The following is a 15202-nucleotide window of genomic DNA, read 5'->3' on the forward strand; positions in this document are numbered from 1 at the left end:
ATTGCTATAAAACTTATTTGACTTACACGTTAGAATAAGCACCTCCAATATCACAGTCACAGGGAGAACACCCATGGAGATGATTTCCCAGGCCCCAGTATCCAACCTACAGAGAAAAAATGCTCAGCTGATTCCAGCTATGAAGATGCTGTTGCTCTGAAGTGCAACACTGAAATCACTACAATGCAATTGCCACACGTCAAATAGCCAAACAGCCTGCACCATCTCAGAGAAACCTTCCTGGCCTATGCGCTTGGCTAATGATCTTCCATGGACACATCTCCCATCTCCAGGATTTGAAGTAAGGGGACAGGGCTGGGTGCGGTGGCTCCTGCCTGTAATCCCAGCATTTTGGGAGGCCGAGACGGGTGGATCACTTGAGGTCAGGAGTCTGAGACCAGCCTGGCCAACCATGGTGAAACCCCATCTCTACTAAAAATACAAAAATTGCCTGGGTGTGGTGCATGCCTGTAGTCCCAGCTACTCGGGAGGCTGAGGCAGGAGAATCGTTTGAACGTGGGAGGTGGAGGCCAGAGTGAGCTGAGATCGTGCCACTGTACTCCAGCCTGGATGACAGAGTGACACTCCATCTCAAAAAAATTTTATAAAATGAAGGGGACAGGAAGGTTGTCCATGTAATGTGTCAAGTGGAAAAGAAATGGGAGCCTTAACAATTCCTCTCACATCATCAGTTATGCTCAATCTGGGTTATATAAATCCTATCGGAATAGAAGTTCTTCTACCAGCCTATGTGTAACTGCCTGTATTTTTCCCACCCCACAGACGGAGTCTTGTTCTTTTGCCCACACTGGAGTGCAGTGGTACGATCTTGGCCAACCTCCGCCTCCCAGGTGGAAGCAATTCTCCTGCCTCAGCCTCCCGAGTAGCTGGGATTACAGGCGCCTGCCACCACGCTCGGCTGATTTTTGTATTTTTAGTAGAGACGGGGTTTTACCGTGTTAGCCAGGCTGGTCTTGAACTCCTGACCTCGTGATCCATCTGCCTCGGCCTCCCAAAGTGCTGGGATTACAGGCATGAGCCACCAGGCTCGGCCGTGTAACTGCTTTTAAAAAAACTGATAGGTTCCCTTACCACAACAACCCCTGGGAATTTTACCCATACAATACTGAAATACTTGGAGGCAGAGAAATCCTTCAAGCTAATTTTGAGATATTACATGAATACCACACTTTAGCATAGGCATTTGTTTATCAATCAGTTGTTTTGGCATAATAACATGAATCCATATGAGAGAGTCAACTCTATTGTTCCAGACTTTTTCCATCATTGCAACATCTTGACCGTTGTTCAAAATAAACAGCTGGTGAGATACAAGTAACTATTTTCTAAGTGTTATAATATTTAGTATAAAATGCTAAAAAAAATTCTCCTCCCACACATCTCAATTGAACATGCTCCGATAAAACTTAAATTTTAGTAGGTATGAAATTCTCTTTGGAAATGGTCTTGTTAAGCATCCATATTTTTTGTATCTTGGTATAATTTTATGCATGATTTTACTCAAAAAGGTGTCTTTTAGATATTAAACATTGATGTCTTTGGACACAATGCGACAAAGGACTTGATGTTTTTCCCCAAACCAAAACTTCAGTTTAAGAAAAAAAAATGATGTGATAGGAACTGCTTCCCACAGGATGTGGTTGTGAAAACTTCCTCTAGGACAGGGAATGCTGCCATGCTGGCCACCTCAGGGCAGATCCAGGGCACCATCAGAGAGATGTGGATGTGGAGAACCTAGTGGGTGCATGGGCTCAGCCACGATGGACAGTTCCCCCATGGGGGGGGTCCCTGTTCAGTTATTTTGCTTGCTTGCCCTGCAAGCAAAAGTGAGTCTGTACTGCACACGTAGCAGTTAACCAGCCAGTGAAAAAAGTCAGCCTGAGCCTAAGCTTTGTCTGGAATTACATGATTTGGTCGATCACATAATTTCAGGATTTGTTGATCCTGTAACCAACTGTGCTCCTTTTTTTGTGTTACACACTTATGGTCATGGAGGTTGGCGTGGCTGACCTTTCTCTTTAAGGTACAATTTTCAGATTTTTTGACTTGTCTTCCAGAATCCCTTCTTCATATTTCCTTCCTTGCTTCTTTCCCCCACCCCCTCTGCCCCATCCTGTTTTCAGTAAAATGACTTAAAATATCAGCACAAAACCATGTCCTCATAGGCATATGTTTCTTATTCATCAGCTACATTTCTTCAGACACATCGAGGTCACTGTTCTTTTATTAGGTTAAGATTTTGTGGGTTTTTTTTTTTTCTCTCTAAAATGTCATGGTGAGCTGCCAAGATTGGAGAACAAAGAAAAGAGTTGGGTTTGAACTCCCCAATTGCATCATGCATTTCTTATGGAGTGAATATGTTTTATTTTACTAATTTTAGATGATACATCTAAAATTGTATGTTTAGTAGAGTCTGTGAAAAATCCAAGAGTTTATTTCCCACAGGAATCTAAAATACATTAAACCTAAGCTTGTTTTTTTATAAGACCTTATCCAAAACATTTTTAGGAAGGGAGTGGTAGGGATGATAAGGGGATTGTGTACAAGGGATAGAAGAAAGTTCTGGTGGCCCAAAACATAGACAGATAAATGTGCTTCTATTCTACTGCTTGGCATTTTCAGGAAAAGAGTGGATAAACCTAATAATATCTGTGCCTGGGTCGGTTTAGTCCAGTCCAGTGGTGAGCTGGTAAATGTTTAACAGGCAGCTCAATGCAGGGGTGAGGGGAGGCTGATAGGTAGTGTTTGCTGATTTCTGTAGTGTAAATACTCATACCACTGGAGTATTAAAACACAATAGGACAAGAAAGAGATTAGCAAAACCAAGTCTTACCTAGGCAATGGCAATAGAAATCTGTATCACTATAGAAAAGGGAAACTATAGGCAAATACATACAGTGCATTCTTCGCAGTGTGCTCCGGTGACATATGACAGGCACAAGCATTGGCCTGTATCCACATCACAGGTCAAGAATGGCAGACTCCCAAGGGGGTTACAGTCGCAGGCTGAAAGCACAGCATACACAATTATTCTCATTCTTAATTCCTCCACTCTTGCAAGTGTACTTAATAGCTCACACAAAGCAAGAAGCATAACCGCAAGAACACAGAGAAGCCTGCCCTGCCAGGTTTATTGTGTGCCTGGCTGCGTGATTATTGTTTTGCATATAACCTCACAGAGGAAATCCTGTGTCAGGCACTTCCAGAGCCTCATGTAGTTTTACTGGATGGCAATTAGGAGGAGGAGACAAGTAGGTGTAGCTAGTTGTACATGCTGCAGTACTGGCACAGTAACCCTAAGTGATGCTGACCAGGCTGGTGACTCAGAGGCAGGAGTTTCTGGGAGTCATGGTTATTACTGATCGCTCCTTCTCTGGCAGATGCATCTGGAATCCCACTCTCTCTTCTCTCCTTTAGTACTTTGTTACTTTTTGTCTTAATTCCCCCCTCCTTCTTCTCCTCTACCCGTAGACATTTCTGAGCCCTGCATATGTTGCAAAGGCTAAAAAGACATGCTACCAGAGCAAGGAATACACTTGCAGCAAATACCAACGTTCATGGAAATAACCCAAATGTCCCATTGACTAATGAATGGATAAATAAAAGTGGCACCTCTGTACAATAGTATGTTATTCAGCAATAAAAAATAAAGACCGATGTAATCTGCAATATGGATAAAACTTGAAAACATTACTAATTGTACCATCTTAACCATTTTAAGCAGGCAGTTCAATTGTGTTAAGCACATTAACATCGTTGCATAAACAAACTCCAGAACGCTTTTCATCCTACAAAACTGAAACTCTATGCCCTTTATATAATAACTCCCCACTCCTTCTCCCCTCTAATCCCTAGCAACCACCGTGCTGCTTTCGGTCTGATTTTGACTACTCTGGGTACCTCATATAAGTGGAATTATATAGTCTTTGTCTTTTTGTGACTGCCTTCTTTTACTTTGCATAATGTTCTTAAGGATCATCCATGTTGATGGATGTGTCAGAATTTTTTTCCTTTTTAAGGAAGAATAAGATTCCATTGTATGTAAATACCACATTTTGTTTACCCACTCATCCATCAGTGGATACTTGGGTTACTTCCACCTTTTGGCTAGTGTTGCTGTGAACATGGAAATACAAATATCCCTTCAAAGCTCTGCTTTCAATTATTTTGGGTATATATGCAGAAGAGGGGTTTCTTTTGTGGGGGGATGAAAATGATTGTGGTGATGATTACACAACTTCCAATATACTAAAAATTATTGAATTGTTTACAGGGTGAATTGTATGGTATGTAAATTATATTCAATAAAGCTGTTATGGGCTGGGCACAGTGGCTTATGTCTAGAATCCCAGCACTTTGGGAAGGTGAGGCGGAAGGGTTGCTTGGGATCAGGAGTTGAAGACCAGCCTAGGAAACACAGTGAGACTCCGTCTCTCAAAAAAAAAAAAAAAAAAAATTAGATGGCTGTGGTGGCACATGCTTGTAGTTCTAGCTACTTGAATGCTGAGGTGAGAAAATTGCTTGAGTCCAGGAGTTTAAGGCTGCAGTGAGCTATGATTGTGCCACTGTAAGCCAGCCTTGATGACAAAACAAGACTCTGTCTCTCTCAAAAAAAAAAAAAAAAAAAAAAAAAAAAAAAAATTTAAAGCTGGTATACACCCCCACACACCAAAATAATGTTCAGCCTGTTCTTGGAGGACATCATTTTAGTCAGAGAGTCAGAGAAACATGTGGAATGCTGAAAGGTATGATGGGAAATTGGTTTGACTATATAATTCATTATCATGACATTTAATTTTGCCATCAAACTTAAGAAGAGCGTTTTATTACAGAAAGATTCAGACCAATGTTTTCTAAACATGCAAATAATCCACAGTTCCTTATATGGGCAAAAATATGGAGCAGGAGGCTGTGACCAAATGGAAATTATTTACCCAGGGTTTCTGAGGAATCTGTAGCTCTACGGAGGCCCGGAGCAGCTCTAAATTTCTGTGATCCTATAGCTAAGGGTCTGCTCATTTGGCCTTAGAAAACTGCTGAGGTGTTTTTCTATTTCCGCTCCCCCGCTTCCCTGAGCTCTTTAATTATTTTTTCTTTTATCAGAGAACATATGGACCAATATTAGAAGGGGTGTGAGAAGAAAGGGGAAACATAATTTAAAAAATAAAAAGAGGCCGGGCATGGCGGCTCACGCCTGTAATCCCAGCACTTTGGGAGGCCGAGACGGGCGGATCACGAGGTCAGGAGACAGAGACCATCTTGGCTAACACGGTGAAACCCCGTCTCTACTAAAAATACAAAAAATTAGCCGGGCGTGGTGGCAGGCGCCTGTAGTCCCAGCCACTGCACTCCAGCCTGGGTGACAGAGCGAGACTCCGTCTCACAAATAAATAAATAAATAAATAAACAAACCACCACTTGAAAATTGCCTAAGATGACATCAATCTTGCAGAAACACATAATGTAATTTAATGGATTTGTATGTAGAGGTCTAGTGGAAACCAAAAAAACTTTTGCAACTTGGCGTTAAATTTCTTGCCATTTCCCCGTGTTTGTTCCAGTGGGGAAAATGTGAATGCCCCCTGCTGGTCCTTTATGATAAACCCAGCAAACCACAGAGAAAAGTTCTCCACTAACCGCTTAGGATTTACGGGAACCATTATGTTACTTTTTAAAACCCAGAGGTTGGCAGGATTCTTAGGTATTCATGATCATCAATTTTTAGGGCAGACAGAGACAGCCCCAAGCTTTAAAACGCATAGGGGCCGAGGTGGGCGGATCACTTGAGGTCAGGAGTTTGAAACCAGCCTGGCCAACATGGTGAAACCCCGTCTATATTAAAAATACAAAAATTATCTGGGCGTGGTGGTGGTCGCCTGTAATCCCAGCTACTCGGGAGGCTGAGGAAGGAGAATTGCTTGAACCTGGGAGGTGGAGGTTGGAGTGAGCCGAGATTTTGCCACTGTACTCCAGCCTGGGCGACAGAGCGAGACTCCATCTCAAAAACAGACAAACCAACCAACCACATAGGGGTTGATGGACACTCCCCCGACCCCCGATTATGGACTTACGCTGGCAGCCCAGGGGGTCGGTGGCGCTTAGTCCGTAGTGGTTGGGTTTGCACTGGTCGCATTTGGCTCCTTCCACGTTCTCTTTACAAAGGCACTGGCCGGCCACAGACCCTAAGGCAGGATCAGAGTGGCTCACACAAATGCCACCAGATATGGTCCCATCGGGGTCACATTCACAAGCTGGGGACACAGACATTCATTGTTTTAGTTAATTGCAAATTGTGGGAAGCCTGAAATATAAGCACGGCATTTTACTCATGCTATAACTATCTTGCTTTGTTTAAATAATTAAATGTTTAAATAATTAGACCACCTGGCAAGAGCTATTCAGAAATGTCTCCCAGATCTCTAGCCTTGGAAAACGTTGAATAAATCCATGCATATATTTTTAAAAGACTTTTAAATGATTCGAAAGTCAGAGGACCAGAGGAAGACTGCTGTTATGAAAATTAAGACTAGATTATGTTAAGAATAGACTGATTCTTCTGGGGATGATGAGAACGTTTTGGAATTAGGTAGATGGGATGGCTGCACAACATTGTGCTGGTGAACTGTTGTTCATTTAAAAATGGTTAATATTTTATGTTATGTGAATTTCATCTAAAAATAGATTTTAAAAAAGACTCTAAAGGTGAAAATAAGGTCAAAATCTCTGAAACGTGCTTAAAAAGTAAGTCTCTCCTCTATCACAGAAAAATATGTCACAAGGAAAAGTGACATTCTATTTTATTTTTCCTGGAAGAAACACCTGTAAGAAGGAAAGGGAGGGAATAGTGAGAAGTATTCATATCCTTGGTTTTGTTGGGGGGAAATCTGCTGACAGGTCAAGAGCTTGATGGAAGAGATTCTGGAAAATGGGATAAACAGTCACTTGCAGCAAAGGAGCCACAATGGTAGCAACCTTTTTCCTGTTGTTGTTGTAGACATTTGAACAACTCAAGGATGGTGTGTCATATGAAAAAGAATGTTGACAGTTTGAGTTAATTCCAGAGGGTAGAACCAGGAGAGAGTAGAAGTCACAAAAGGTAGCACTTGATTGAGTTTGAGGAAGAACTCTCAAATAGTTAGGGGTGCCCAATACTGCAGCGAACCCCTCATCATCGGAGGTGTCCAGGTAGATGTTGAAACAGCACTTGTGGCTTTGGTATGGATGACAAATGTGTTGTTGGGCATTAGATGACCACCAAGGTCTCTTGTACCTTTGTGGTTCTGTGTTTCCATGGGGTTCCACTTTTAAGGCGTGTAATAAAAATAAAAATATGAATATCCTGATTTTAAGGAACAGTCACATTCACATTTATACATGCTTGCTTTGGATTACTAAAAACAAAACTGTCAAGTCTAAAACCATGTCTATATAACCACCATTTAGGTTAGTGAGTTTAGTGGAAACAATTCAGTCAAACCAGTTGTTTCGCATTATTGAAGCAACTGGTGTTTGCTCTCTGACACAATCTTTCAAATTTCAATGATTTGTTACTTGTTATTGTTTTGTGACTGGTGACTTACTATGAAAAAATAGCATTGAGTTCTGTTTAGTTTGGAAAAGCCACAATTTTCTTCTAATTAAAGCCAGTTGCTTCTAGAAAGAAGGGAACAAACTGGATTCATCTTAATAGTGGCCAAAAGGAAAAAGCTACAATTTCTTTGGGAGACACTCCAAAGAATCAGTATTGAGTTCCAGAGAATAATTTAATTATGCACAGAAGTATCCTTTGGGAAAGAGATGTGGGAAGGGTGGATAGTAAATGTTCTTTGAAATAGCCTTATGTCATGACCTTTAGAAGTCTAATTGAATGTCTTGGTGTCACATAATTCTAGCAAACTTTTATTATCAAGTAGTTGAGTCTACCAAATCTTGGTTTTTCTGTATCAAATTTAATGGCAACTTAATTGTAGAAAACTTAAAATTAGTCAACTCTTATGCCTGGAATCTGCTTATGTAAATATTTAGGTTCAAACAAGGACAACTTAGAGAAAATTTATATGAGAATTCTAATCAATCTTCAAATACACATCATTTGTATATATACACATAAACATTTGTTTAGGTAAACTGGGAGAAACTGGGGTGTCTCATGATAGTAGTTTGTTACAAGCTCCTCATCTACCTTTTATGGAAAAATTCCTTGTTTACAAAGAATGACTTCTTACTTTCATACCAGGAGTACTAGTTTTCTTTCCAAAGCACTATCGAGTTAATACTCAGTGGTTCTTAAGGAACAAGACTTTGATTGATGTGCTCAAAATATTTGGTTTGTTATTTCCAAATCTCTTTCCAGATTCCTAGATTATCTGTTTCAATAATTGTATTTCCCTGATTCTACCCAAGAGAGCAATTTAATCTTCTTTTATAAATACATAGTTTTAAAACAATAAAAGTTATGTGTGTGCATGATTACAGATTGTGGTAAAAACTGTGTGGTAGGATACTTAGGAAATTGCTCTAAAGAAATACATTTTCTGAGAATCTAGTTCTTTATATCAATTTTGAACAGGTCACGTAAGGTAAATTTTATATAGTCAGGTGCCTACTGAGTAATCCGAGCTAAAACATTTCATTGATGCATTTTCTATATTGTGATCACTTAAAGTTTGAAATCTAGGACATTGAATCTATTCAGGTGGCCAGTGAATTACACTGTATAAGACTTCATTTTATATATTATGATTATATAAAAGTTGAAGTTAGATTTTATAGCAGCTTCCCTGCCCCCACTTTAGCATTATATGGATATACCCTAAGAAGCGGGATCCCTGAGTCCTGGGAGAGGCAATCTTCCATGGATGCTGGTATCCTGAACGTTCTTGCTAAGTGTGCCAGCCGTTCAAGTCCCCACTGGCTCTTTACCTAGCCATTTCTTAGAGTTGTGCTTGCAGTAAGCAACTTTGAGGGATGGAGTGGCATCTTCCCTGGATAAAAAATAGGCTTGCTTCCACTTGCTATAAAGCAATGAATCCTCCAAGTTCACTGTTCCTCAGCTTTATCATAAACTCACTAGATATGCACTATTCACATGGTATCCGTTGTGTCACTCCCATGGGACATGGGGACATGGAAACTCAGGCCAATACAATGATCTTGTTGCTTGCTATGCCATGAGTTACAAAGTCTTTTGTCTTTGGCCCAAGAGTTTTGTGTCTTCTGTTAGTATCCATGAAACAATAACAGGCTAACTTGTTCGTCGGCAAGTAAAGATTTCAGACCCAGTTACTGACACTGGGTATTTGAAATCAGGATGGAGTATTTCTGTAGGCAAAAATGTATAGCAGTGATGGGATGAGAGTGAGCAAGCAAGGTGGCTGGGGTGCAACATTTAAGGAGGTACCCACTCTCAGATTTGTGCAAGCAGCAAGTGTTAGCCCTGCACTTCCATCACCCTGATAGCGAGTTCTTCCTTACATTTTGGAACTTAAGTGCCTTCCTTGGCTCACTCTAGTCCCAGTCCTGCAGGAAAATGCAAATTAAAACAATGATGAGATACCATTTTTGATTAGTGAAAATTAAAGTGTGATAAAACAAAGATAGCAAAAATTGAAGTTTGACAAAACCAAGTGTCGGCAAGGAAGCAGAGCCCCAGGAACTCCCATTTACTATTGGCGTGAGTGGCCATTGGCACACTCACTTAGGGGACCATGCAGTGTTATTTAATCAATTTGAAGTCCATACTCCATGGCCCAGAAATTCCACAGCTAGGTATATCTCCTAGGGACAATGTTTGCATAGATGCACAAGGTCACATACACAAGAATGTTTACTGTAGCATCCAAAGAAAAATGAACAAATAAGTTTTGTCATACCTAAAGGAAAAACTTCTATAAGAAATTAAAATGGAAGAACTAAGACTACCTGATATAGAAAAGTCTCAAAAATATAATGTCGAATGAAATACCCAAGTTGCTGAAAGACACATACAAAATGACATAATCTATCTAAACTTTGAAAACATGTCAACATATATTGTTCATAGATAAAAACACATGTGAAAGAGTGAAAAAAATCATGATAATGCAAAATATATGAGTTTACCACTAGCAAGGAGGGTAGACAAATGGGACAGTTGTGTACCTGAGACATCAATATAGTGCCTGTCATGTTTTATTAAAGAAAGTCCCAAGAGTGACAGGCTAAGACTGTTCTAGAGAAAGCTGATGGTGGGGTATAAGGGTGTATATTATATTATTCCCTATTATTTTGTACATGCTTGAAATATTTCATTTAAGAAGTTGAGATTCAAGATAAAAGATTTTTAAAGGTTTTTAAAAAGCGCAAGGTAAGTAACATGTTAGCTTATGCATCTTAACAGCAAAATTGAATTGTCTACAGCCAGTCGAATGTTTTAGCCAATTTTACCACTTTGGTTCCTCCCCCAGCAGGCTTCCATGATACTCAAGGCGTCTGCCTCTCCTGGTGGAATCCTGCATAATTTCCCAACTACCAGGACAGACACAGATTATTTGGATCAACTTGTTTGCAGAAGGATGAGCTCTTAAAGCTGAGGTATTTTTGCAATCCTCCACTCTCCAAAATAGGGTAGTTTGGAGATGCCGTTAAGCAGATAAGGTGCGGGCAGCCCCAGTAAGATCAAACTGAACTTTGCTCAGACAGTGGGTAGGATCCAGGCAGACCCGGGGACTCACGAATGCACGCGTAGGGATCTGAGATGGTCTTGAGCGGGTCCCTGTAGAAGAGGGGTCTGCAGCGGTCGCAGTGCTGCCCCTCAGTGTTGTGCTGGCAGTCTTCACACACGCCCCCGCTGAGGCCACCGCTTGCCAGGTACGTAGTCATGTCAAAGTGACAGCGGCTGGAGTGGCTATTACAGCTGCACGCTGAAAGGAGAAGACAGTGACTGAGAGGTAGACTAAGGCCTCGGGTGGCACAGCCAGTGCCCCCGCACTGGTCAGGGCACCCGCTAGTCCTCCTTGTCCTCCTGCCATTTCGTGTTCTTTGTATAGATGCACCAAGCAAACACAGGGCCAAAATGTGTGCCCTCAGGGGATCGTTCTAACACTCTGATTCTGCTCCTACGCTTTCTATAAAATGTGCTCCCCATATGTTAAATATGTAGTTTTTAAAAATCAAGTGAACAAAAGTAAATCATTTCGGTGATCTAAAGCCACAGAGTGCAATATTTGTGGTGTTCATTAAAGGATGCTTTTACTGACTTATGCTTTGTGCAACTGAAATTTTTACATGAAATATTCTGCATGCTCTGGGATTCCTAGAGAAGACGGCAGAGGAAACCGGCCTGGCCCCTCTTTCCACAGCAGCAGAGAGCTGCAAGGGCTGCGGTCAATTTTATCTCATCTGAGGCTAGGCCAGTGGCCTGGAGGGAAAGGCAGTCTGTTTGGAGGAATTTGTCTTCATGATAATGTCTACACTGTTTGTCTTTTTGTTTCTTTTCCTGTAAACAGTCTAAGGTCAGGCTGCATATTCCCCGGTCTTGTATACTGTGACTCTCATGGATGAGGCTTTTTTATTAGAGCTCTTCTAGGGACATTTCATTCCCTTAAATTCTGTTTTTCCTAGTCTAGGAAAAGAAATTGAATAACAAATTTGTTTGGAAGTTCATTAAAATTCAGAGGCAGCAAACATGTTAGCCAAAACAAAACCAGCATCTTATTAGCCTGAGTATTTTATTTAAAACAATACAATGGCCTGTCAAACTCATTCCTGGGCCTCATTTCTCCTATTATCCTACAGATGGGTTTAAGGTCACGTTCATGGAATGTATGACTATTCAGGATGACAGTGCAGATCTCTGGACCAAGCCTAGTGTTCACCAAATTCTTGGAGTTGCCTTGTCCCCACTGATATTGCCATTAAATGGCTCCATCCCTCTACTAGAAGGGTGCCACACAACATGCTTACTGTTTCATTTTTAAAGTTAAACTTAATTTGTGGTGGGAGAGTTGGAGAAGTTGGCGATTCTTCTATGTGGGATAATTGGGAACACTGGGATATCACACTATAGGAGCTGGGAGGACAGCCTCCCCACTTTGGTGCCTGCAGCCCCACAGAAGTGAACGAAGTGTTTCTTAAATAAGGAAATGCAGAGCACACTCAGTCTATGCAGGGAACTGAGTTTCACCCACATCTGCAAGCGTTGTCCTGGAGGTCTGCAGCTGGCCTCCAAGGAGCATCCTGGAAGAAGTCCTTGCATCTCTCACAGTTCGGACCATCTGTATTGTGCTGACACACACACTGACCGTGAACCTGCATTGTGCAATAAATAGAGCGTTGAAAGAGGGCTTGTCCTTGGGGACGTTGGGGTTCTTTAAATGGGAAATGAAATACCAGGTCCTGGTACCTCTCTGATCCTTAGTTTCCCATATGTTAATTACAATACCAACCTTGATTATCTTCTATTATTTTCTTAACTAGCTTTAAACTTTATAAAAATTTTAAAAGTTCAGTGAACTTCTAAAATACAATACTTTTTTTTTGGCTTTTCTGAGTTCTAGTTTCAGGGCAGCACATTGCAGCCCTCAATAAAATGAGGGACAGGATGGCTAAGGGGTTTGTGGGGAGTTGGGGGGGAGTAGTATATAGGATTTTTTAGGAGCATAAGAGAAAATAGAGAGTTAGAAAAGGGAACGAAGCTGAAGAAAGCCATGTGATTCTCCTGGATTTTCCCAAAAATGCTCTAAATGGCTCACATGCAGAGAGAGAAGCTCTGTTTCCAGTGAAACAGAGGTAGCTGAATGGGAAGGCACACTAGCTCAACATTAAGCCTTGTATAATTTTGCCTAATAAACAGTTGACATTTATTTAGTAGACACACTCCCTGGGGCTCTGCATAAAACTACAACTCTTCTACAATGTCTTTTAAGGCTAGTCCCCCAAGATGAGAGAGATCTGCCATATTAAGACACAGCCATTCCCAGGGTAAGAATGCTATTTGGATTGAACATTTTACGATATCAGATATTGCTGAAACACCTTAGCATTGACTACAGGGTCTTGCACACAAAAGTCCTTCAGTAGATTTTTGTGAGAGAATGAATGTGAAATTATTAGGTTGGTACAACAGTAATTTTGGTTTTTGCAATTAAAAGTGTTGGCAAAAACAGCACTTTTGCACCAACCCAATATGATCCCTCCCCACCAAATCTCCATGCTCTACAAAATAAATGAAAAGAGGGCAAGATGAAGTATCTTGAAATCCTAAAGTATAAATTCTGCTCACTAGTTCAATGATGTCCATATGCTGCAGAATCCACAAGCACTTGTGGCTGGAGGAACTGGAGGGCCCTAGGTGGCCTATCAGGATAGGTTGAATGGTACCCATCTCAGCATAAAACTGGCACTTAGATTTGTTGATCTCCATGTGGAGTGTCTCATCTATATATAGCACCAGGACAGTGAAAGGCAGGTAGGACAGCCCACTGTTCTTTTGGATTAATAACTCACCATTCCAGGAGGGCTGAAAACATCTCCCCGCATCTTCTGCATAGGGCGACATTCGCTAGCATGGCCATTGCAAAAGCAGCTTCCCCGAACAATCATCTCGTACAGAGCATAGTAGTATTTATCAAGGGAATCATTTTGCCTCCTTCCAAGCAAAGCATCCCCAAGGGTGTGGAGCTTGGTAAAGTTTATCCTCAGGTTTGTCAATGTCACAAGGTCTAAAGAAAGGAAAATAATGAATCAAAGTGAATTTGAGGTGCATCAGTTCAAGGGACTCTTCTTGACTGATATACACTTAATATACTATAGAAAAGAGATTACAGGCCCGGTGTAGTGGCTTGCGCCTGTAATCCCAGCACTTTGGGTGGCCGAGGCAGGAGGATCCCTTGAGCTCAAGAGTTCAAGACCAGACTGGGCAACATGGCGACACCCTGTCTCTACATAAAATACAAAAATTAGCTGGGCAGGGTGGCGCATGCCTGTAATCCCAGTTACTTGGGAGGCCGAGGAACAAGAATTGCTTGAACCCAGGAGGCGGAGGTTGCAGAGAGCTGAGATCACACCACTGCACTCCAGCCTGGATGACAGGGCAAGACTCCGTCTCAAGAAAAAAAAAAAAGAAAAGCAATTACAAGGAATATGCCAAACATGAAATTTTTTTAAAGCTGATATGAAAAATATAAAGGAATTCATACCTTGGATGTAGGGGCTATAAGGGTTTTCAATTTCAAAACTGGGATCCAAAACTTTTAAAACAACCTGTAAAACAAATATAGATACATTTATAGTATATTACCTGAAAACGTAATTGTCAAACACACTCTTTTTTTTTTTCAAACCTCCCAGGCCCAAGAAATCTTACCACTTCAGCCTCCCAAGTAGCTGAGACCACAGGCATGCACCACCATGCCCAGCTAATTTTTAAAGATTTTTGTAGAGGTGGGGTTCTCCCTATGTTGCCCAGGCTGGTCTCGAACTCCCAGGCTCAAGTGATCCTCCTGCCTCAGCCTCCTAAAGTGCTGGAATTACAGATGTGAGCCATCACACCTGACCGTGAAATGCACTCTTACAGAAGAGACCCTGATCTTACAAGAAGGCTGAGCCATTGCTTCCCAGCTGGCATAGAATACAGATTATCATTTGGGTTAGCATATGAATAGAAGTACCAGGAGCAGAAATAAATGAAAGGTATTAATCAGTCATTTCCGGCTCTTTATGTACAAGTGGTTCATACAGGCAGAAAAGTCAAAAAGAGTGCTTATGCTGGGTTGGGATGGAGTGACAGACAATTTGGCAAGCCATGATCAATTTGGATTTGGTGGTGAACTCTGGAGCTGTCTTCTGCCACTAATTCTTTCTGCTCTACCTGGCAAAATAGTGCCTGTTCAATCCCACTCACTCCAACCTTCTGCCAGGCACCAGCTTTGCTCAGAGGGATGTTCCCGGCAGATTCCCCTGGGGTGGTGGTTTACAGAGTATGGGGATGAGATAGCTAATGTCAGGCTGCTGCTAGCTTACATGGCTCCTTTGCAAGCATTAGAAATGGGTGTTCCTTCTTCTGGGTGCCTGGGGCCATGGTGCCCCGTTTAAGTGTTATCCCATGCCCACCTTCAGCTGAGCACTCTTGTGCAGGATTGCTTCTAAAAATGTATTTAGTATTTATTTGGGAATCATTTCAGTTTAGACACTTTCATTTTCA

The 15202-nt window shown here is 41.4% G+C and overlaps 1 protein-coding gene across 12 annotated transcripts in view; it reads right to left on the minus strand.

Annotated features, from left to right (window-relative positions):
• LAMB4 (laminin subunit beta 4) overlaps nt 1-15202 on the minus strand; it is a 118700-nt gene that overhangs the window by 80649 nt on the left and 22849 nt on the right. For all 12 annotated transcript variants that reach the window (XR_927421.2, XR_927422.2, XM_011515975.2 and 9 more), the window contains exons 7-13: nt 14199-14262; nt 13507-13721; nt 12189-12309; nt 10734-10922; nt 6093-6272; nt 2918-3027; nt 27-106 (exon numbers count right to left, since the gene is read on the minus strand). Coding sequence is in view for 10 of the 12 variants with exons in the window: in XM_011515975.2 (XP_011514277.1) it covers nt 27-106; nt 2918-3027; nt 6093-6272; nt 10734-10922; nt 12189-12309; nt 13507-13721; nt 14199-14262 (959 nt within the window). In the remaining 2 variants the exon portion in view is untranslated. The remainder of the gene's footprint in view (nt 1-26; nt 107-2917; nt 3028-6092; nt 6273-10733; nt 10923-12188; nt 12310-13506; nt 13722-14198; nt 14263-15202) is intronic.

The sequence above is a fragment of the Homo sapiens genome, chromosome 7 (assembly GCF_000001405.40).
Source record: "Homo sapiens chromosome 7, GRCh38.p14 Primary Assembly".
In the NCBI taxonomy this organism is placed as follows: domain Eukaryota; kingdom Metazoa; phylum Chordata; class Mammalia; order Primates; family Hominidae; genus Homo; species Homo sapiens.